This window comes from Homo sapiens, chromosome X, assembly GCF_000001405.40.
Source record: "Homo sapiens chromosome X, GRCh38.p14 Primary Assembly".
In the NCBI taxonomy this organism is placed as follows: domain Eukaryota; kingdom Metazoa; phylum Chordata; class Mammalia; order Primates; family Hominidae; genus Homo; species Homo sapiens.
The window spans coordinates 70234399-70257781 of NC_000023.11; the positions used below are offsets into that span (position 1 = coordinate 70234399).

The following is a 23383-nucleotide window of genomic DNA, read 5'->3' on the forward strand; positions in this document are numbered from 1 at the left end:
TGTCACTCTGACTACATGGCAGTCATTCTCACCTTTCTCCATCTTGATGTCCTAATAATCCTAGGAAAGAGAGTCAAAGGGCAAATGAGCTGGACCAGACCTGACGGGGCAGTCCTTGTACTTCAGAGCCTGCCCCTGCGGTGGGTGGGGGGGCAGGGAAGGACAAGAGGGAAGAGGGCAGGTGCAAACTCCTCATAGTTATATGCATTCACTATTAAGTGAACTTCCAGAGGCTGGTGGCACCTTTGGTTGGAACACTGTTCTGAGATCTTTGCCTCCCTCAGGCTCCCGAGAATCATGGCTCATTCCAAGCAGCCTAGTCACTTCCAGAGTCTGATGCTTCTGCAGTGGCCTTTGAGCTACCTTGCCATCTGTGAGTATTGACCCAAGAGTGCATAGCAAGAAGCCAGAGTCAGAAGCCAGGGCCAGATCTAGGGTGACTTTTAGGGCCATGTGAAGTCTCATTTTGAGCCTTTCCATCATCTAAGATTGTACTAGAGAGTAAAACCAAGGAGTCTTGAGTTCCATGAGTGCCCTGGAGAAGAATGAGATAGAGCCCCAGGAGACAGTGAGAATATGTAGTGGGAGGGGGCGGGGGGTGGAACAGGGTCATGATGGATATGAGTAGATCTAGTTAATTTCAGCCACTTCCTAATCCTTACTATCTAGAGAGGAAAAGTGAGGCCCAGGGAATGCTCCCTTATGATCATGGGGAATAGGACAGAGGAAACATTAGCATCCCAGACTTAAAGAAGTATAGCCTGTGTCTGAACCATAGAGTTGTCTATTCTGGGAGTGGGGTGGTGGTAGCATGCGGGAAGACAGTGTCATTGGAAAGAATGGTGAATGGGCAAGAGGACAAGCATAGTGGATAGGAAATACTAGAAGGATGCAGATGCTGGATGGGCAGCGTGTAGGAAGATATAGATAGTATAGGGGTGAGGGAGAGTGGGCTAGTGGCTTAACGAGGGATGACGGATAGGGAGGGAGACAGGAGACAAGAGGAAAAAGATGGTGACCAAATGGGGGCAGGAGGAAAAAAAACTGGTGGGAAGTAGAGAGCAGGAGTACAGAGGTAGTGGCTGTACAGGGAAGCAGGTGGACAGGGATGACAGACAGGCAGAGAAATAGGGCTTCTGTATGGTAAATGATAGAGGAAAAGTTTGAAGGACAAGTAGACATGGATGATGAACAGGACCTGGATTGTGTTGAGGGCCAGGACCAGAGGCTTAGGTAATGTGGAGAGCTGGTGATGGGACTGGGCATGGTCAAGTTCTGCTGGCAGCACAAATTTGGTCTAACCTGGTCCCTCATCAGTTTGGATCTTGCAGCCATTGTTCGTCTACCTGCTGTTTACATCCTTGTGGCCGCTACCAGTGCTTTACTTTGCCTGGTTGTTCCTGGACTGGAAGACCCCAGAGCGAGGTAAGACTCACAGACCTAGAAAGAAGAATGTTCCATCATAACCTGCAGCCAGAGAGTCCCACTCGCCATACCACAGGCCCCTCATCCAAGTTCTCAGAGCCACAGGAGCTCGGCCAAACAGGACCATCCTAGGGTCTCCTCCTTTCCCACCTCTCTAGCAGAGCCATGCTAGGGAATCCCTGAGTCCGTGGAATGTATGGGATGGCACACACTGACATCATCCCCTACTTCTTCTTTTGCCTCAGGTGGCAGGCGTTCGGCCTGGGTAAGGAACTGGTGTGTCTGGACCCACATCAGGGACTATTTCCCCATTACGGTAAGTATCTCTTCCCCAGTGTCCTCAGAGTTCCCAAAATACTGGGTAGGCATTTATACCACATGACTAGAGTTGTCCATAAGGAAGATAAGTATCCCAGGGAAGTCTCAGTCTATGCTAGATATACTTCAAGATTCAACATTTCTACTGAGCACTCCATACTCAGCTAGGAAACTTTGGACACCCTTGGCATCACCTGCCAGCTGACACAGTCAGAAGGCAAGCACAGTTCAGATCAGTTTAATAAGCATGGATTGAAAATCTACTCTGAACCACGTTAGCAGTACAGAGAAATGAATAGGATGCAATTCTCTGCCATCGAGGAGCTCACATCTAATGGGGAGGACATTAGTATAAAGTATATTATTTGTTTGGCACAAGGTACAGAAGTAGTTCAGATGCGGGATAAGGAAAGGCTTCACAGACATGGTGATATCTTAGCAGGGTTTTCCAAGTTCCATACAAGTTATTTAGGCAGGCACTGGAAGGGGATTGGCAGGAAACAATGCCAGGAAGAGGTTCCAGAAATGTACTGTTATGCTGATCCTCAGGGCACTCTTTGGAGTATACAACAAACACCACCCCGACTTTTAGAGCCAAGCTTCCTGATCTTTTTCACAAAAGTGCTCATAGACAATGATAATTTGCACAAAGCACACTGACATAGATGGCTGAGGCTACTTCTAGCCACAGGCAGGAGATCTGGCAGTTCTAGCTGTCCCAGATCCTACCTTGTTGTCCAATGGCCACAGAGACCAATATCTCAGCCCTCCTGAAACCCATTCAGGAAATCTGTTGGAAAGCTCTGCTTTAGAGAGCACCCTGATCCCTGAAGTATCACCACCCTTGTTTCTGCCATGTAATCTCATTCCACCACCTCTGGCATTTCTCTCCATGGCTGCAGATCCTGAAGACAAAGGACCTATCACCTGAGCACAACTACCTCATGGGGGTTCACCCCCATGGCCTCCTGACCTTTGGCGCCTTCTGCAACTTCTGCACTGAGGCCACAGGCTTCTCGAAGACCTTCCCAGGCATCACTCCTCACTTGGCCACGCTGTCCTGGTTCTTCAAGATCCCCTTTGTTAGGGAGTACCTCATGGCCAAAGGTGCTTCTGACCATACTTACTGGAGCTTCTGGTCCATGTTTCTGCTTGGAAATGCACCCTTTTAAATTCCATCCCCTCCTCCCCCCACCCGCCCCCATGTCATTATGGCATAGTAGTCAAAAGCATATGTTCTAGAGCTAAGCTGCCTGGCATTGAACCCTCCTAGCTCTACCACTTGTGTGGTCTTGAGCAAACTAGCCTCAGTTTCCTCATCCATAAAGTGGTACAGATGAAAATAGTCTGACATCAGTTGTGGGATGATGACTAAAAGTGAGATGATGCAAGTAAAGAATTCGACACTGGCCAGGTGCAGTGACTCACGCCTGTAATCCCAGCACTTTGGGAGGCTGAGGTGGGTGGATCACCTGAGGTCAGGAGTTCGAGACCAGCCTAGCCAACATGGGAAAACCCCATCTCTACTTAAAATACGAAAATTAGCTGGGCATGGTGGTGGGCACCTGTAATCCCACCTACTCAGGAGGCTGAGGCAGGAGAATCGTTTGAACCCAGGAGGTGCAGGTTGCAGTGAGCCGAGATCACAGCATTGAACTCCAGCCTGGGTGACAGAGAGAAACTCTGTCTCAAAAAAAAAAAAAAAAAAAAAAAAAGAATTCGACACAATGCCTGCCACAGAGTATATCCTCAATAAATAATAGCTGTTGCTCTTAATGAAAAAAAAAAAAAAGGTACCATTATACATGGGATTCAGGAAGTCCTTCTGGTTATCCCACTGAAAACCTTCCTACCGGTTTTGGCTCAGTGCCTCCTGCAAAGTGAAGATATTGCCTCATTGTGAGCTATTCTGTTTGTCAACAGCCTTTTCTTCTCCACACTCTTTAGTCCCATCTCATTGCTCCTCTCCTCCTTGGAACTATGAGAACAAGCCAGTGAAGAGCAGAGAAGAGTGTTCCCTCTTAGCAATTTTCTCCTCTCCTGATCATTTTGCTCCTTGATTCTCTTTAGGTGTGTGCTCTGTGAGCCAGCCAGCCATCAACTATCTGCTGAGCCATGGCACTGGCAACCTCGTGGGCATTGTAGTGGGAGGTGTGGGTGAGGCCCTGCAAAGTGTGCCCAACACCACCACCCTCATCCTCCAGAAGCGCAAGGGGTTCGTGCGCACAGCCCTCCAGCATGGGTAGGTGTTCCCCACAGAGGGGCAGTGCATGGTGTTCTCTGAGCAGCATGACCCTGTCGGTGAGGCCAGGATGAATCAGATGTGAATTTTGCCCTCAAGGAACATACTACCAAGTAAGAAAAATGGGTCATCCAGTCCTTCTGAGCTAGCTCAACTAGTTTCTAAGAGGCCAAACCATAAACCCAGGTTCAATATCAAGGGGATTGGGCTAAGGCTGCCCTGGCATATAGATGATGCCCACATTATCTCTATCAATGCTGGTATCTACATCTGTCTGCTAATGGTAAGTGCATGGGGCAGTACAGTATAATGAGTGTGTGTGCAGGATTGGGAGTCAGGAGCCTGATTTAAAATCCTGGCTCCATGACTGTGCACTCTGGGACAGGTTCCTTAACCATTCTGAGCCTTGGTGTTTTTCATCTTAATGATGTGGCTAAGAACTGTACCTACTCCATAGGGTGACTGTGGGCTTTAAATGAATTTATCCCCACAAAACACTTACCATGTCCCTGGCACACTGTAAGAGATCAATAAATGTTAGTATTTGTGATTTAGGGGTCCAGAGCTGGAGCTGTAGAGTGCCCCATTGGGTCAGCAGGCCAGCTCTCTGGACACAGGGACAATTGTCGTATTGCAGACCTAGAGAAGAGGGCAGTATTTCTTCCAAGGACCTTGCCTGAAGGGCCTGTTCACCAGTTGGAAGAATCATGTAGGGAAGAGAGCTCTGAGCTGGGAGTCCTGGGTTCTAGTCCAGATCCTGCCACTCACTCACTGCCTGAGTGGCCATCCCTTTCTGAACCTGTACTTCTGCATCCCCCACTGTGCCCTCCACGGCCTTTGCTGTGAGGAACCAGTAAGGTAACATATGTCAAAGTGCTGAGAGATTGTTATTAGCAAGTCACAAAGATTTGTATAAGAGAGATTTACTTTTCTTTCCCTCACGGAATTTGAGCCTGACTGTCTACCCAGGGCACTGTTCAGGGTGGAATCTCATGGTCTGTGGAAGGGAAACAACTTTTCTCTGCTCTAATCCCATAACCCAAGGACAGAATACCTTATGCATCCCCTCTTGGGGATCTCTGCTCAACTTCTCTTGCTTCCCTGACGCTCCCCGCCCCCTGGCTATATCGTGCCCTTGTAATCCTGGCCCAGAGAGAGCAATCTCACTGGCCTTGAAAATTTCATGACAAGAGACATTAAATAGGGAAACCCTGTTTAGTGCAAGAAAAAATGCTTTATGTCACCAGGATTTCATCAAAATAGATGAGGGCCTGGCAAGCAAACAAATGTTCTTCCAGGGTGGGTCTCATCCTAGCTTGTGTTTAGAAAATAAATTGGAGTTTTCCTACAGGGCTCATCTGGTCCCCACCTTCACTTTTGGGGAAACTGAGGTGTATGATCAGGTGCTGTTCCATAAGGATAGCAGGATGTACAAGTTCCAGAGCTGCTTCCGCCGTATCTTTGGTTTCTACTGTTGTGTCTTCTATGGACAAAGCTTCTGTCAAGGCTCCACTGGGCTCCTGCCATACTCCAGGCCTATTGTCACTGTGGGTGAGTGCCACTCTCAGCCCCAGTGCCACCTCAGGTTTCTCAACCTCAACCTCAGCCTGGCCCCACCAAAGAAGAGGGCAGCAGAGGGGAAGGTGGGAGCTGATCTGGGATGCGAGAGTCAGGCCCAAGGTAGGAGAGGGAGGTTAAAGGAAGAGGAGGTCCTAACACTTTCCTCTTCTCTTTTCCGATCTCTCTTGGCAGTTGGGGAGCCTCTGCCACTGCCCCAAATTGAAAAGCCAAGCCAGGAGATGGTGGACAAATACCATGCACTTTATATGGATGCTCTGCACAAACTGTTCGACCAGCATAAGACCCACTATGGCTGCTCAGAGACCCAAAAGCTGTTTTTCCTGTGAATGAAGGTACTGCATGCCCAGGAGCACAGGAGTGCCTGCCTTGAAGAAGAGACTCATCTGCCACTAACCAAAGACAGGCAGGAGATGAGGGAGGTTATATGTGGTAGGGGAGGGCATGAGGAATTCCTTCTTTGCCTTCTTGCCACAGGGTCCTTACAGGAATTCTTTCTGAAGAGCTGCACACAGTCATTCCTCAAAGGAGGGCATCCTAGTGCCCCTCATGCTGGGGCCTGATGCCTGGTCATCATTTGAGTCCTCTGGGACACATTAGCAGTCACTGCATATTCCCCCAGCCCCTGGGCAACTATCTACTTTCTGTCTCTGTGGATTTGCCAATTCTGAACATTTTATATAAATGGAATAATACAATATGTGGTCTTTTGTGGCTGGCTTCTTAGCATAATATTTCCAAGGTCTATCCATGCTGTAGCACGTGTTAGTGTTCATTCCTCCTTATGGCTGGACAACACTCCAGTGTGTATAGGTATACCACATTTGTTTATCCATTCACCACTTGATGGACATTTGGGTCATTTCCACTTTTTAGCTATTATGAACAGTACTGCTATAAATACTCATGTATGTACAAGTTTTTGTGTGGTCATCTGCCATCCCCAGATATAAAGGCTTATCTTATGCCCACACCACTGACAAGCATGCCTTTAGGATAGATAAAAGGTACTCAGGATCATTTTTTAGTTGGCATGGGCATTTCCCATAAGTCACCTTGTCATAATGATCCTCTGACTTCATAGTCCCAGGGCACTTGCAACCATCCTCATAGCCTACTGTGGGGAATACACTTGATATCTATGTTTTAAAAGCCTTACTAAATTCTGTTTAAAAGTTTTTCTTGCCGGGCGCAGTGGCTCACGCCTGTAATCCCAACACTTTGGGAGGCCAAGGCAGGTGGATTGCCTGAGATCACGAGTTAAAGATCAGCCCGACCCCGTCTCTACTAAAAATACAAAAATCAGCCAGGCGTGGTGGCACACGCCTGTAGTCTCAGCTACTCGGGAGGCTGAGGCAGTAGAATTGCTTAAACCCAAGAGGTGGAGGTTGCAGTGAGCCAAGAGGGCACCACTACACTCCAGCCTGGGAGACAGAGTGAGACTCTATCTCAAAAAAAAAAATTAAATTAAATAAATAAATAAAAGTTTTTCTTAAAGTTGTATTCTGAGAATCTTAAAAGAGTAAATAAAAACACAGATATCTCTTCCTTCACGAGGCAGCCAATAAGAGACACTTAAAAACACAGCAAATGACCAAAAGTTAAAAGACCATTGAGACTACTAGCTTTTTTTTTCCTTTGCTTAACCTTTAAATATTGGGTCCCATCCTGTTCTCTCACATTCTACTGTTTCAGGTCTGAGACATCTATTTCTAACCCATATTTTCCTCATAAGCAAACAGTGCGATATATCCAATTTACTAATCTCCAACAAGCACCTCAACCTCAACATACCCAATACCAGTTGAGTCATCTTCCTTCTCCCAACTTCATAACTTATCACCAAGTTGTATCAATTTTGCCACCTTCATATTAATCCAACCTGTCCCCTTCTCCCCTTCTACAGTCACAATCTAGTCAAGGCCCTCAACATTCCAAGACTATATCCACTCCCTCTAGAAAAGTCCTCTTTAATCAACCCACCCATCATGCTATTTCCAGGGCAATCTTGCTAAAACTTATATCTGACTTTTCATTCCCCTGCTTAAATCCTTTACTGTTCCTACAATACCTCCACTCTGGGTACCAATAATGTTCCTTAGATGTTAATGAATATTGCACAGAAAAAAATAATTCTGTGGGGGTGCGGTGGCTCATGCCTATAATCCCAGCATTCTGGGAGGCCGAGGCGAGTGGATCACCTAAGGTCAGGAGTTCGAGACCAGCCTAGCCAAAATGGTGAAACCCCATCTCTATTAAAATTACAAAAATTATCCGGGTGTGGTGGCACATGCCTGTAGTCCCAGCTACTCAGTAGGCTGAGGCAGGATAATCACTTGAACCTGGGAGGCAGAGGTTGCAGTGAGCTGAGATCGTGCTCATCTCTTAAGCCTACATCAAATCTCACCTTCCCAGTGAAGCCTTCACCAGACCGAATGAGTTACTCCTTCCTTCATTCTTCCATAGCCTTTTGATAGGGATTGATTTGTGATAAGGCTGAAAAGTACAGAGCTGAATAATACAATAAATAACGTAGACTAGGCTTTCAAATGGTAAGGACTTAGTGAGCAAGTCAGGGAATTACATTTTCTTTACAAGTGTACATGAATCATTCACAACCATTATTTATGTATTTGAAAATAAAAATACTTTTAACTAAGATGTAAAAGGCAGAAATTCTACCTACTATAATCACAGGATACAACACAGCAAACTTAGAAATAAATAATTAAGATAGAATTAGAGTCCACAGCTGAATTGGAATAAAAAATATTCTCCTGACAACTGGCTCAGAAAATAAATTTAGAGACAATAATAGAATATGTTGGAAGGAACAAATGAAATGTAAATATCACACATAAAAATGTATGCAAATAGAAGATCATCCTGGAGCATCTTCAAGTGTCAGAAAGCAAAGAAGTGCTCAGAAAACAAAAGAATAATGGTGTGTCAAGGGGACACAGGAGCAACCTGAAAAAGCTCTCAATGGCCAAAGCTGAAACAATTTGAGCAATAAGACAAATAACATAAGTAACATAGTGTTGAATTATAATCTGAAGTATAAATTATGTATACATGATTCCATATTGATATAAATGAATGAGTAAACAAATAAATAGTGGCAAAGGGACAAATCTTCTTTACAGAAGAATTACAAATAATGTATGTAGATACTTCCCCTCAGGAGGTAGAACTTAATCCCCTCCCCACCCTCAAGTGTGGGCTAGATTTAGCAATTCAATTCCAAAGAACAGAGTGTGGGAAGTGAAAAGCATTACTTTTAATGGCAAAACTGCAATCACTTTTGCCCCAACCTAATAGTACTTTACAGCAGAGAAACCAGGCAAACACTACCTTAACCCAGCAATCAAGGTTAACATTGAAACCACCTTTGCAAAATTATGACTGAGACAGTGAAAGAGATCTAACTTAACCGACTCCATCTTGCTTCTAACCTCCAAGTTGTCCTTGTTCATTCCTGGGTGTAGGCTGAACTAACTTTGGGAGAAACTTAGTTTATAGTTTAAACAAAGATGGTAACAGTCCTTTCCCAAGGCAAACCTCCTTCTTGCGTGGGGACTAGATTGCCTTTGTAGGACTAACATTAGCCACAAGATTAGAAATTATGGTTTAGGAGTCATGCAGCTGGAGGCTACAAGATTCTGACCCTCTCTAAACTGCTCCTAACATCAGTGCTTGAGATATTTTGCAGAACCTGTACTTGATGGATCAGCTGGCACCACCCAGATCAATATACTGGCTCATCTGATCCTGTGGCTCCCACACAGGAACTGACTCAGTGCAAGAGGACAGTTTCGACTCCCTGTGATTTCATCTCTGACCAATCAGCATTCCTGGCTCATTGGCTTCCCTCCACCTACCAAGTTATCCTTAAAAACTCTGCTCCCCAGTCGGGTGCGGTGGCTCATGCCTGTAATCCCAACACTTTGGGAGGCTGAGGCGGGTGGATCATGAGGTCAGGAGTTCAAGACCAGCCTAGCAAATATGGTGAAACCCCGTCTCTACTAAAAATACAAAAATTAGCTAGGCGTGGTGGCAGGCGCCTGTAATCCCAGCTACTCCGGAGACTGAGGCAGGAGAATCACTTGAACCTGGGAGGCAGAGGTTGCAGTGAGCTGAGATAGCGCCACTGCACTCCAGCCTGGGTGACAGAGTGAGACTCCATCTCAAAACAAAAACAAAAACAAAACAAATGAAACTCTGCTCCCTGAATGCTTGGGGAGACTGATTTGAGTAATAATAAAACTCTGGCCTCCCGCACAGCTGGCTCTGTGTGAATTACTCTTTCTCTATTGCAATTCTCCTGTCTTGATGAATTCGCTCTGTCTAGGCAGCGGGCAAGGTGAGCCCCTTGGGCGGTTACAACATCACAAGTGATAAATCATGTTGATATCTTGTGAGAAGAAGGGTATTTCACTTCTGTGCTATTCTCCAGTCCCAAGAACCTAGTCTAATTATGACAAAAATATCAAAGAAGCCCAAATTGAGGAATATTTCACTAAATACCTGACTAGGACTTCAAAGTCATTAAAGTCATGAAAACAAGGAAAGACATATTGTTCACAGACCAAAGGAGACTAAGGAGACGTGATGATTAAATGCAACGTGCTATCCTGAATTGCATCTTGGAACAGAAAAAAACAGTATCAGTGGAAAAACTGGTGAAATTTGAATAAAGTCTGGAGTTTAATTAATAGTAATGTACCAATGTCAATGTCTCAGTTATGAAAAATGTGCCATGGTTATATAAGATGTTAACATTAGGGGAAATTGAATGAGAGGTATTTGGGAACTCTGTGCATCATCTTTGCAGTTTTTCTGTAAGTGTAAAATTAATCCAAAATAAATAATTTATTTTAAAAATGTGTGGGTTTCTGCCAGATTGGTACTGAAAGAAAACCTAATCGCTTTTAAATGTTTTTACTAATAAGAAAAGAAATTAATTATATTCCTACACGAAAAGCTTTAAAAGTTACAGGAGAGTTAACCAATTAATTAGAACATATATAAGATAAAACCCAGGGGTGTGTGTGGGTGTAATAAATCCTAGGCAGAGTCACCGAATTTGGCCAAAGTACTCTGTATTACTTGGCTTGGGCTGCTATGATAAAATACCACAGACTGGACGGCTTACACAACTAAAATTTATTTTCTCACAGTTCTGGAGGCTGGAAAAGTCCAAGATTAAGGTGCCAGCAAGTTTGGTTCCTGGTAAGGGCGCTTTTCCTGGCTCATAGATGGCCACCCTTCTTGCTTTTAGGTCTTCATATGGTCTTTCCTCGGTGAATGCACTTGGTGAGAGAGAGTGAGAGGGAGCTCTCTGGTGTCTCTTTCTGTAAGGACACTAATCCTATCAGATCAGAGCTCCATCTTTATGACCTAATTTAACCTCAATTACTTCCTTAAAGGCCTCATCTCCAAATACTGCCATACTTGGGGGTTAGGATATTAACATATGAATTATGGGGTGGAGAACACAAATACTCAGTACATAACATACTCCATGTTGTATAAGGGGGACATAAGAAGATCACTTTCATACCATAGGTAATATTCCAGCCAGGTGCAATGGCTCACACCTGTAATCCCAACACTTTGAGAGGCTGAGATGGGAGGATTGCTTGAGCCCAGGAGTTTGAGACCAGCCAGGGCAACATAATGAGACCTTATCTCTACAAAAATTAGCCCGACATAGTGGTGCACGCCTGTGGTCCCAGCTACTTGGGAGGATGAGGTGGGAGGATTGCTTGAGTTTGAGGCTGCAGTGAGCTGTGATCACGCCTCGGCACTCCAGCCTGAGAGACAGAGCGAGACCTTGCCTAAAAAAAATTAAATTATATCTCAATTCTAATCTTTATAGAATTGTTTGATGTACTAGTCTTAACAACACTAGAAATAACTTCTAGGAACTATATTTAATTTTTAATTAACTAATTCCATTTGGGCCATGAATTGTGCTCTTCCATTGACTTCATCTGAAAGTAAACATTTATTTAACATGGAAAATGTACAAAACAGTGAGCACAAGAACAATCATGCTGCTCACAATGCTGACACATTATGGTTCCTTCGCTGTAAGGTCAAATTTCTTAAAAATTGCTACCAAAAATTTTAAGTTGTAATAATATTTATTTTTAATAAAGTTTCAGATTTATTCTTATATACCAGAGATTCATGCTAAAATAGATAGTGATATTCAACTTCATCCTGAGCTTCAGTTGAATATTGACTTTAAAACTTGGTCATACAGGCTAGTATCAAAAAGTCAAAAAATAACAGATGCTGGCAAGGTTGCAGAGAAAAGGGAACACTTATACACTGTGGGAATGGAAATTAGTTCAGCCACTGTGGAAAACAGTTTGGAGATTTCTCAAAGGACTTAAAGCAGAACTACCATTTTACTCAGCAATCCCATTACTGGGTATATACTCACAGGAATAGAAATTATTCTACCAAAAAGACAAATGCATGTGTATATTCATCACAGCACTACTCACAATAGAAAAGACATGGAATTGACCTAGATGCCCTTCAATGGTGGATTGGATAAAGAAAATGTGGTACATATACACCATTGAGTATATGCAGCCATTAAAAAGAATAAAATCATATCCTTTGCAGCAACATGCATGGAGCTGGAAGCCATTATCCTAAGCGAATCAACATAGGAACAGAACAACAACTACTGCGTGTTCTTACTTCTAAGTGGGAGCTAAACATTAAGTACACATGGACACAAAGAAGGGAACAACAGACACCAGGGCCTACTTGAGAGTGGAGGGTGGGAGGAGGAGGGTGAGGATCAAAAAACTACCTATCAGGTACTATGCTTACTACCTGCTGATGAAATAATCTGTACACCGAACCCCAGTGACACATAATTTACCTATGTAACAACCTGCGCATGTACCCCTGAACTTAAAATAAAAATTAGAAGGAAAAAACTTGGCCATTCAGCATTTGGCCAAAATAAGTTTACAATGCCCCTTGTATTTGTGCATAAGAAAAGATCTGGAGGGATATACACCAAGGTATGAATAGTGACTCTCTAATCTTCTTTATGGTGGACTTTATTTAAGACACTGGTCGCAGTGGCTCATGCCTGTAATCCCAGCACTTTCGGAAGCCAAGGTGGGAGGACTGCTTGAGTCCAAAAGTTCAAGACCAGCCTGGGCGACAAAACGAGACCTCATCTCTACAGAAGAAAAATTAGCAAGGTGTGGTGGCAAGCCCCAATTGTCCTAGCTACTCGAGAGGCTGAGGTGGGAGGATCAACTGAGCCCGGGAGGTTGAGGCTGCAGTATGCCATGATCATGCCACTGTGCTCCAGCCTGGGTGACAGAGTGAGACACTGTCTCAAAAAAAAAAAAAAAAAGAAAGAAAAGCTACTATAAACATCTTTATATGGCCATATATTTGTCTTGGGTAAATACCTGGAAATATAATTCCTGCGTCACAGGATAGGTATATGTTTACTTATATAAGAAACTAACAGACTCTTTCCAAAAGTGTTTGTACCATTTTACACTCCCATCAACAATGTAGGAAATTTTTTGGATGTTTCACACTCTCACCAACATTTGGCATTATCAATTCTTTTAGTTTTAGCTGTTCTGGAGAGTGTGTAATAGTATCCCATGGTGGTTTTAATGTTCAGTTCTTTGATGACTAATAATGTTGATCATTTTTTTCACCATGCTTGGCCACTAATAAATATATCTTCTTTTTTGAAGTATCTGTTTATATCTTTTGCCTATTTTGTGGGGCTCTTTGTGTTCTCATTATTGAGTGTTAGCAGGAATTCTTTATACATCTTAGATACCAGTACTTTATCACTTTATCAGATAGATGTTTTGCAAATATTTTCTCCCAGTCAGTGGTTTGTCTATTTATGTGATAAATTTATGTGATAATGGTCTCTCTCTCTCTTTTTTTTTTGGAGATGGAGTCTCACTCTGTTGCTCAGGCTGGAAGTGCGGTGGCACGATCTTGGCTCACTGCAACCTCCACCCCTGGGTTCAAGCAATCCTGCCTCAGCCTCCTGAAGAGCTGGGACTACAGGATCCCACCACCACACACAGCTAAGTTTTGTATTTTTAGTAGAGACGGGGTTTTGCCATGTTGGCCAGACTGGTCTCAAACTCCTGCCCTCAAGTGATCCACCTGCCTCGGCCTCCCAAAGTGCTGGGATTACAGGCATGAGCCACCGCGCCCAGCCGGTAATGGTCTCTTTTGATGAGCAAAGTTTTGTTTGTGCTTTCATAGACTTTATTGTTTGGAATAGTGTTAGATTTACTGAAAATTGAGATAGTGCAGTTTCCCTATTGTTAACATCTCACACTAGTACGGTATAGTTGTTACAATTAATGAACCAACATTGATATGTTATTATTAACTACACTTTATTCATATTTCCTTAGTTTTTACCTAATGTCCTTTTACTGTTCCAGGATCCCATCCAGCATACCCTATTACATTAAGGTATTATATGTTTGGCTCCCCTTAGCTTTGATGGTTTTTCAGATTTTCCTTGTTTTTAATGACCTTGATGCTTTTGAGGCATGCTGGTCAAGTACATTGTAGGATGTCCTGCTATTGAAATTTGTCTGATGTTTTTTATCATGATGAGACTGAAGTTATGGGTTTCAGGGAAGAAGACCACAGAGGTAAAGTACCATTTTTCATTACCTTATAACTAAGACACATAGTATCAACAAGACTTATTACAGTTGTTGACCTTGATCACCTGGCTGAGGTAGTATTTGTCAAGTTTCTCCACTGTAAAGTTACTCTTTTTCCCCTTTTCCACTCTGTGAGAAGTCTCAATAGTTCACCCTTAAGGAGTGGGGAATTATGCTCCCTATCCTTGAGGATGAAGCAGCTGCATGAATTATTTGAAATTTTTCTGGTCGGCGCAGTGGCTCAAACCTGTAATCCCAGCACTTTGGGAGGCCAAGCCAGGCGGATCACCTGATTTCAGGAGTTTGAGATCAGCCTGGCCAACATGGTGAAACCCCGTGTTCTACTAAAAATACAAAAATTAGCCGGGTGTAGTGGCGGGTGCATGTAATCCCAGTTACTTGGGAGGCTGAGGCAGGAGAATTGCTTGAACCCGGGAGGCAGAGGTTGTCTTGAGCTGACATCGCGCCATTGCACTCCAGCCTGGGTGACAGAGCAAGACTCCATCTCAAAAAAAAAAAAAAAAAAAAAATCCTCATTGGAGATTTGTTTCTAGCAATTTTTACAAATTTTTGATAAAGCCTAATTTATCAAATTATTTCATATGGTTATTGTTTTCTGGGTTCTAATAAATCTTTGCATGCCCCACAGAGTTCTTGCTTGTCTGTATTTTAGGATCCTTGTGTAGTGATAATGCATTGTGTTTGTAATAATGTAAGGCAAGTTTTAATTTTTTTTTTGTTTTTTTTTTTGAGTTGGAGTCTCACTTCGTTGCCAGGCTGGAGTGTAGTGGCACGATCTCGGCTCACTGCAACCTCCGCCTCTCGGGTTCAAGCAATTCTCCTCCCTCAGCCTCCCGAGGGACTACAGGCACGTGCCACCATGCCCAGCTAATTTTTATATTCTTAGTAGAGACGGGGTTTTACCATGTTGGCCAGGATGGTCTCGATCTCTTGACCTCTGCCTGCCTCAGCCTCCCAAAATGCTGGGATTACAGGCGTGAGCCATCGTGCCCGGCCAAGTTTTAAAAATTTAATAAAAATCCATAGCTTTTCAGATGTGGGATTATTGCTCCTACATTTTTGGAATTTTATTCCTAATTCATTTTTAGACAGTTGTGCCAGACCTGATGTTTTGGCAATGCCTTAATAAATTAAAAATAAAAACCCAAATTTTGAAAAACAAAGATATTTTAAAATGCATAGAAGTTTTCCAAAACCATCTCTGGTGCACCAAAATTAACCAATATTTAAAGAATTGCTTTTGAATCAACTGTTGACAGTTCAGTTTTTCTGCTGTCTTCTCACCTGACAGGCTGGTCCTTTCCTACTTGGGGCTAGATCTTCCTTGATAACGTAGGGCCCTGACAGGTCTTCCTGGACACCTCAGATAATTCACTCATTCACTCACTTCATTCAGCAATACTTATTGACCACCTATTATGTTCTAGGCACTGGGGAAGACAGAGAAATAAGTCAGACGCCTACGTCCTTAAGAACTCGATCTATTGGATGACTGCTCAAATTCAGTTGATGGTTATTAATGCTGATTTACTATACATTAAGCATTCTCACATGCAGACTGTATAAAACTTTGCATGTGAAATGGAAGCGACAATGTCAGGCTACAATAGTATGTACACAATGAGTACAAGACAATTTGGAGGAATTTCAATTGTTGAATTCAAGATTTATTAGGTTCTTGGTTTTCCGAGAAGTTAAGTTTGTAAAAGATGTGATAAAGGATTGCATACTGTTAATCTTACTTTTGTTACAGAACTTTCTCAGAAAGGAGTTTAGTTGTATTACAGAAAGTTATCATGGGAAAATCAGTTTTTAAGTCAGAAGAAAAAAAACAAGCAGTATGTAACAGACCCTGCTAGTATCCTACCCAATACCTATTATTATCCCTGTCTTCTTTACTCAGAAAACTCCCTGTCCATTTGGGGCAGCAATATACTCAGCTTCCCATACACATAGCTGGGGGTGGCCACATGACCTAGCTCTAACTAGTGAGGTGTAAGCAGAAGTCTACTGGGTGGTGTTTCTGGAAAGGCTATTGTTTTCCTGATAAAGAAAAAGGGCTTAGTTTACGGGATTCTTTAGCCTCTTGCTATATACCTTTACTCCTTTCCTCCCATGTAGAACACAGACAATGTGCTTGGAAATTGAGCAGCCATTTTATAACCACAAAGATTAAAAACATACATTAAAGAGATGGTAAAGCAGGAAGCTGTAAGCATTTTCTTGAGCATCTGTACCTACCCTGTATTGCCGACATGGGGATTTTTTTGATAAAACAAACAAACACACACAAGAAACACATACCTTGTTGAGCCCTCACCATGGGTTTCTGTTACACACAGTCAAATGCATTCCTAATTGATGGACTACCTCAAAAGGGAAAGGTTTCCAGGGAAAGTATTTTACTTATTATTAGGAGAGGGGAAAACTTTTCCATCAAATTTGAAAAGCTGTGCGATTTCCTGGAAAATGTAGAAAAGCATTTTTTACATTTCTACATATGAAAAAAGAAAAGAACTTTTTTGGTCTGTATCTGCCCATGGTGGAGAGAAGAAATCTAGGAGTGCAGGAGACATAAGCTAACTCCTACCCTCTGACTAGGTGGTTTCCAGATAGTAGGTTTCCCTTACTAGAACGGTGGTCCTAAAATGTATCTTGGCATAGGAGGTCCTTGAGCTGTGCCTTGCAGGAAAAAAATGGTTCCTTGGTCCATAAGTCTGGTAGGTATTGTACATAGAACCCCCTCCTCTTAGAAATTCACAGTGGATATTATGATGTTAAGGGCTCCAGATAAATCCTGTAGTAAAGAAACCTGCTTAACAATATTAAACCCAGCCCCTTCAAAACTTAGTAGCACCTGGAAAATGTATTTGAGAAAATTTCATTAGAGAAATAAAGACAAAAACGTTTAAAAAAAATCAAACCAGCTTAAATCCTCAAAGAACCACAACAGCAGCTACCCTCTGGAAAGGGATCTAGCAATATTTAGAGTGGGTAAAAAAAATGTTTTATTCACACTGCAGATAGAGGGCTATTGATTTAGTGAAGGGAATGAGATTTACAAAGAGCAGTAAGTTAAACATCAGTGAGAAGTAACACAAATTGGGCAGGTGCCATCGGCGTGGTGATCCCTGAGAGGGTATCAGTTGATTCTTCTCTTAAGTTTTCCCAGTACATTTCTTTTCTTTCATTTTTTTGAGTTGGAGTCTTGCTCTGTCACCTAGGCTGGAGTGCAGTGACACGATCTTGGCTCACTGCAACCTCCACTTCCCAGGTTCAAGCGATTCTCCTGCCTCAGCCTCCCGAGTAGCTGGGATTACAGGCATGTACCACCATTCCCGGCTAATTTTTGTATTTTTAGTAGAGACAAGGTTTCACCATGTTGGCCAGGCTGGTCTCAAACTCCTGACCTCAGGTGATCCACTTGCCTCAGCCTCCCAAAGTGCTGGGATTACAGGCGTGAGTCACCGCGCCTGGCCCCAGTACATTTACTTCCTTCTTTCCATCAGTAGATCCAAAAACAGGACTAGGACCCCAAACTGTGGTACAAAATAAACAATAATAACCAATCTGCTTCAAGAAAGATTTCATCTTCCTCTCTCTCTGGAAGAGTTCTTACATTTTAATAATTTATACTTTGACCCAAGAAGGGATAATTTTTCTTCCCATCTTGTGACCCAAATACATAAGCTCTGGTAATCAAACCTATACCAAGGTACCCTCATAGACATACTCACTCTTTGGTTCCACTCAGATATTTCTGCTCTTCCTTTTGATGAGAAGCCACATCTCATCTCATATAGGAAATATCAGCTCTGTAGTTATGGCAAGTAACCCATTAAATGGGTTATTCTGAAAACTTTGGAAAGAGGTGTGGTCAACAGGAAACTTTGGAAAGAGGTGTGGTCACCAACTAATGCATGTAAAAAGTTCTTGATTACAAAAGCTATTTAAAATTGGCCTCTTTAGTCAATGCCACTGGCTATTATCTATTGTATGCATAAACCCAGTTTGGCAGAGAATCAAGTATTTTTTATTGAGTGTTTCTGAGAATCACATCCTCCTTGAATTCTCTTAGGCATTTGACACTGTTGATTGCTTTCTTAATCGTTCTCTTTTTTTATTCAAAGGTTTTTTGTTTTTTAAATAACTATCCTAAATCCCTGTTTCTGAAACTCTCTTCTCCCTCGATGCAATGCCAGAGTCCCAAACTGTTTCCTCCCAATCCATCACTATGGCCATCCCTCGGTGATCAGTTCTTAGCCCTCTGCTTCTCACACTCGAAGGTTTATTCTTTGTCATGATCTTAACTATCACATCTAAGCAGCAGATTCAAATATTGAGTTCTGGTTCCATGATCTATGGCCATACCACCATGAACGTGCCCGATCTCATCTGATTTCCGAAGCTAAGCAGGGTCGGGCCTGATTAGTACTTGAATGGGAGCTCTTATTCCACGTCCAGCTATGCTAAAGTTGAAAACCATTGAAAGGAAGTTCCTGCCCACAGGAATTGTAAGTGATGTTTCGTCATCCATTACTCCATTGACTCTTTGCAACAGCTTTGTCAAATGGGTATTCTTATCCCAATTTATCAACGAGGAAATTGAAGTTCAGAGAGATCAAGTAACTTGTCGAGATCATGCAGCTAGTGAGTATCAGATCAAGGATTCAAAGTCAAGTCCAGTTATCTGATGAAAATTGTTTGTTCTCTCTACTACTCCTTATCACTTCCTTTACCAAAAGCTGGCTTTCATCACATCAATGAAGGAGAGCAGACTCCTGAGTGAAGCATTTCACTTAACCAGCTGGGGATTGTTGGATGAAGGAATAGAAAACGTAAGCAAAGTGAAAGCTCAGAATGTGTCACCTTCCCCTCCTCCCTACATCCAGGTTAGCCTTACAGGCAGGCCAAGTAGTGAGTAGCCCACAGAGTGGAATGTGAAAGATGCTGGTTATGTCTACTTCCCCTCAAAACATCTTTCCAATGCCCTCCCACCACCATTGTTCCTAAAGTCCCCTTGGCCTTTAATTCCTTGGGGTTCCTGTGGCCTCTCAAAGTGGAAATATACCCAGAAGAAGAAACAAAAAACTGAATTACTAACGTATAATCATTCAGAAAATATTTATTAAGCACCAGAATCTGAAGAGGTACTTAAAGCTTCACCAGAATCTGAAGAGGTACTTAAAGCTGAGATAATTGTCTTCTTTTTACAGATGATGAAATTGTGGTTCAGAGAGTCTGAGTGACTCATCCAAGATGACACACCTGAGCCCCATTTTCTGAATCAGAGCTCAGACTTGGGTCTTCTGATTTTCTGTTCTATGCTCTTTCCTTTCTATCGCAGTAACTCAAGGGGTTTATAGGTGGGAACTCAAGACAAACATACATGAATAGTTAAATAACAATTCAAGATAACAGTAGAAGTAATGTTAAAAGACAATAAAAGTGCCCAATGACTGATAGAGACAATAATTACTCTAGGAGTGACCTGGAAGGTCACTGTGGGTAAGAGTCAGCAGAGAAGGCCTCAAACAGGAAGTAGGACTTAAGCCTGGCCTTGGAAACTGAATAGAAAAAGGGCAGCCCAAGAAGAAAGGGAGGGCATTCCAGTGTGGGGGACAGGAAGAATAAAGACGGAGGTGAGAAAATCCAAGTCTTGTTTGGAAAGAGAATGAAAAGACCAATTTAGCTAGAGAAGAGAGACTTTTACTGGGGAATAATGGAAAGTAAGATTCAAAGACCCTCTTGAACTTCTGACAAAAGGATTTTGACTTGTCTTGTGGACAATAGTGAACCATGAAAAAATTTTGAGTAAGACAGTGAAACTCTGAAAGCAGTGTGTGGGTAGACTAATCTGGCAATATGCATTGTAGAGGATGCCTTTCGATGGGAAGAGACTGGAGATAAGGAAGACTAGTTAGGAGCCTATGACAGTCAGGGATAAGGTGACAAAAGCCAGTATTAAAATGGTGGTGCTGAGACTAAAAGGAAGGCCAATTGTAATTGGCAAGATGAAGAAAGAAATGTCAGAACCTGTGAAATAGGGAGAGACAAGAGTTGAACTTGCCTGAGAGTTTTCAAGCCTAGCTGACTTGAAGAAAGAAGACGCCATGAACAGAAATTAGCAAGACAGGTAGAAAAACTGGTTCAGGGAGTTTTGCTTTTGACATCTTGGGGTGGAAGTAACAATGGAAGGTCCAAGTGAAACTGTCTAGTAGGCAATTGAAGATGTAGAGGTGGAGGTTGGGAGAAGGGAAGGCCTAGAATTGAGTTGGCTTGGTATAATGGTATATAATGGAGCCCTGGGAGTCAGGAGACCTGGGACTTTGCCTCTTCTCTGCCACTAACTTACTGAGTCACGGGCAAGCCACCTCTCTGGGCCTGTTTCCTTCACCGTAAAGTGAGGGGGTGCACAGACCCTATATGATCTCTGAGGTACTCTCAAGGACTATGAGTCACCTGCATGTATGTTTTCTCCATGGCAAAATCAATAGTCAGATGAACAAAGGGCATTAAATAATCCCCAAATGCTATGACTCTGTGACCGATCTCAGGAATGCTGTTTACTTAAGGAGCAAAAGAGAAGTCAGCAAAGGAGATAGAAAGTAATCAGAGAGATAAAAGCATGAGGAGAGAAATTCTAAAGCAAGAGGATAAAATAAGGAACTAAAATTAAAAGTATCACAATAAATAAGATAAATATTTACATCAAATAATGACAAAGGGATAGCATGTATATTAAGAATACATTTAGATATATAAGAATACCACTAGGGTGCCAATTAAAGAAAGATGCAAAGAGTAAACATATGGGAAAGAGTTCAATCACATGAGTAATCAAAGAAATGAAAAAAATATCAAAATAATGTTTAATCATCTAAAGAGATTTCTTCTAAAGTCCAATGCTAGCGCTGCAAGGGAACTGGAACAACTCATACGTCATTGTGGTGTTGAAAATTTTTGCAGTCCTTTTGGCAGTCACAATCCATAAAAACATTCATGCTCTTTGGTCTGGTAATCCCACTCCTGGGAATTTGTCCTAGAGACAGAATTACAAAGAAGAAAAAAAGCCATACACATTAAGATGTTCAAAGCACAGAAAAATTGAAATATATCTAAATATTCAATAATAGGGGAATAGTCAAATAAAATGTAATCTACTGACAGGTGTAATTTTATGAGGCAACTGAAATAATAGATATGAAAGACTATAGCAACCAGGGAGAATATTTACAATAAAAGGTTTCTAGGCCAGGCGTGGTAGCTCATGCCTGTAATCCCAGCACTTTGGGAGGCTGAGGTGGGCGGATCACTTGAGGTCAGAAGTTCGAGACCAGCCTGGCCAACATGATGCAACCCTGTCTCTACTAAACATACAAAAATTAGCCAGGCGTGGTGATGTGTGCCTATAATCCCAGCTACTTGGGAGGCTGAGGCAGGAGAATCACTTGAACCTGGGAAGTGAAGGTTGCAGTGAGCCGAGAATTGTGCCACTGCACTACAGCCTGGGCGACAGAGCAACTCCGTCTCAAAAAAAAAGAAAAAAGAAAAGACAAACGGCAGCAGGGTTAAGGTGTCAGTGATAATGCTTTGGTTTTTTTGTTGTTGTTGTTTGTTTTTAAGATGGGATAAAATGGGTGATGGAAGAGACTTGAAATAATGAAGAGAGGTAAACAAAGGAATAAGAAAGGGGACCACCTCTTATTCTGGAACTTCAGGGAAGAAAGGGAGAAAGACAGGGCAAATATAGAGTAGTTATCGTGAATGATAACTGGAAGTTGAAGCGTTAGAGCTTCTCAGTTTCGCAGGAGGCAAGGTAACTCTCTTAAGAGATCACAAGAAGGAGATGAATTTGGGGACTTGTGGAGGTGAAAAAGACAGGAAACAGCTGCTGTGGAATGTTCACTAGGAACACACCAGGCTAAGAGGAATGAGAGCTTAGGCAAAGTTCCAGGATGTGAAGTCTTAGTGGGTCAAGCCAGCCTTGTTCTCTGGCTTCATCTGCAATTTCCTCCAGTCCTAGAAGAAAGGAGATTGGCCTAAGGTGAAAGTCAAGGTGTTTAAAGCTAAAGTGCAAGGGAAGACAGCCCTAAAGTAACAGACCAGAAAGTTCATCTCGATTAAGCATATGGGAGTTAAATAGACTGAGGAAATGGAGGAGGCTGAGTCAGTTGGGATGGAAAGAGCAGCTTTACTGGGTGGGGACAGCAGGTTAGGGGAGGTGATGGGCAAAGAGGCCATGGTCATAGGAATAAAAGGAAGAGAGTGCAGATGAGGAACAGTGTACGCAACAGTGGCTGTGAGACTGGGAGAACTAGTAAGAAGAGGAGAAAAAAGCCGGTTCATTTACTCCTAATGGCAGGAGTCCTGCATAGCAAGAAGGTCCTGGATATCTAGGGAGAAAGTGGGAGCCTTTCAAAAAACAAAAAGGGAAATTCAGGGGAACTGAAGTCATTTTTTTTTCCTTCAGTCCAGCCCCAGCCCTACTCTACAGAGAGAGACGCTTAGAAGCCAATAAGAGTTAGTATCATTAGATAAGTAAGAGATCAGAGACAGGTTAGCAAGGGTGGGAAAAAAAGAAAGGCAAGGCTGGGGTCTGACTCAGGAGACCAACAGGCTGGAAGGTGATTTCAGAGGGAGAAGGCCTGTAAGTGTGAGCCCACCCTTCTCAAGAATGCCTGCCAAGAAATTCTTACTTCCCAAGGCTTAGGGGTTAGCTTCTCAATTTCCAATGCACCCCCCTCCCCTCTGCAACTTGATCCAATAAGCCTGTAAGTGCTAAGATGGCACTGGAAGAGAGAAGCAATGAATGGGTGGGAAACTTTAAAAAGAACCTTCCCAGTCCTAGTGCTCCACCCTGGCCTCAAAGTCCTGAAGCCTGATCTGAAAGAGCTGGTGACAGATTTATCATTTATTTGGGGCAGGACCTAGAGAAAGTGGAGAGATCAGTGAAACACTAGCTCTGGGCGTCAATTCTTGTCACCACCTTCCTCTGCACAAATCTGCTCTACTCCTCAATGCTAGAACTTACAGCCATAGACGTGAGAGCTCCACCCCCTCAGTCTGAGCCATCCACTTGTCCTTTTGTTAAGTA

At 42.8% G+C, this 23383-nt stretch overlaps 1 protein-coding gene and 1 pseudogene across 1 annotated transcript, besides 1 other annotated feature; both read left to right on the forward strand.

The window, feature by feature from the left end:
- AWAT1 (acyl-CoA wax alcohol acyltransferase 1) lies at window positions 257-6261 on the forward strand. The gene is made up of 7 exons (NM_001013579.3): window positions 257-373; window positions 1318-1425; window positions 1671-1741; window positions 2646-2850; window positions 3814-3985; window positions 5337-5536; window positions 5738-6261. Exons 1-7 carry the CDS (start codon window positions 298-300, stop codon window positions 5890-5892), a joined length of 987 nt encoding a protein of 328 aa, NP_001013597.1. The 5' UTR covers window positions 257-297; the 3' UTR covers window positions 5893-6261.
- RNA5SP507 (RNA, 5S ribosomal pseudogene 507) lies at window positions 18644-18764 on the forward strand (annotated as a pseudogene).
- Window positions 18789-19988: an enhancer, noted in NCBI's record as "CDK7 strongly-dependent group 2 enhancer chrX:69473037-69474236 (GRCh37/hg19 assembly coordinates)". NCBI's record gives its function as "activates an origin of replication core promoter dependent on BRD2, BRD4, P300/CBP, MED14 and CDK7 cofactors, with strong dependence on CDK7, by STARR-seq in HCT116 cells {active_cell/tissue: HCT116}" and the evidence as "EXISTENCE:reporter gene assay evidence [ECO:0000049][PMID:35650434]".

What these genes read in the sequence shown, in the direction of transcription:
- AWAT1 (NM_001013579.3), top strand. Translation starts at nt 298, where the DNA reads ATGGCTCATTCCAAGCAGCCTAGTCACTTCCAGAGTCTGATGCTTCTG. An exon ending in TTTGAGCTACCTTGCCATCT is followed by an intron (nt 374 to 1,317) that starts GTGAGTATTGAC and finishes GTCCCTCATCAG; the next exon opens with TTTGGATCTTGCAGCCATTG. An exon ending in GGAGTACCTCATGGCCAAAG is followed by an intron (nt 2,851 to 3,813) that starts GTGCTTCTGACC and finishes GATTCTCTTTAG; the next exon opens with GTGTGTGCTCTGTGAGCCAG.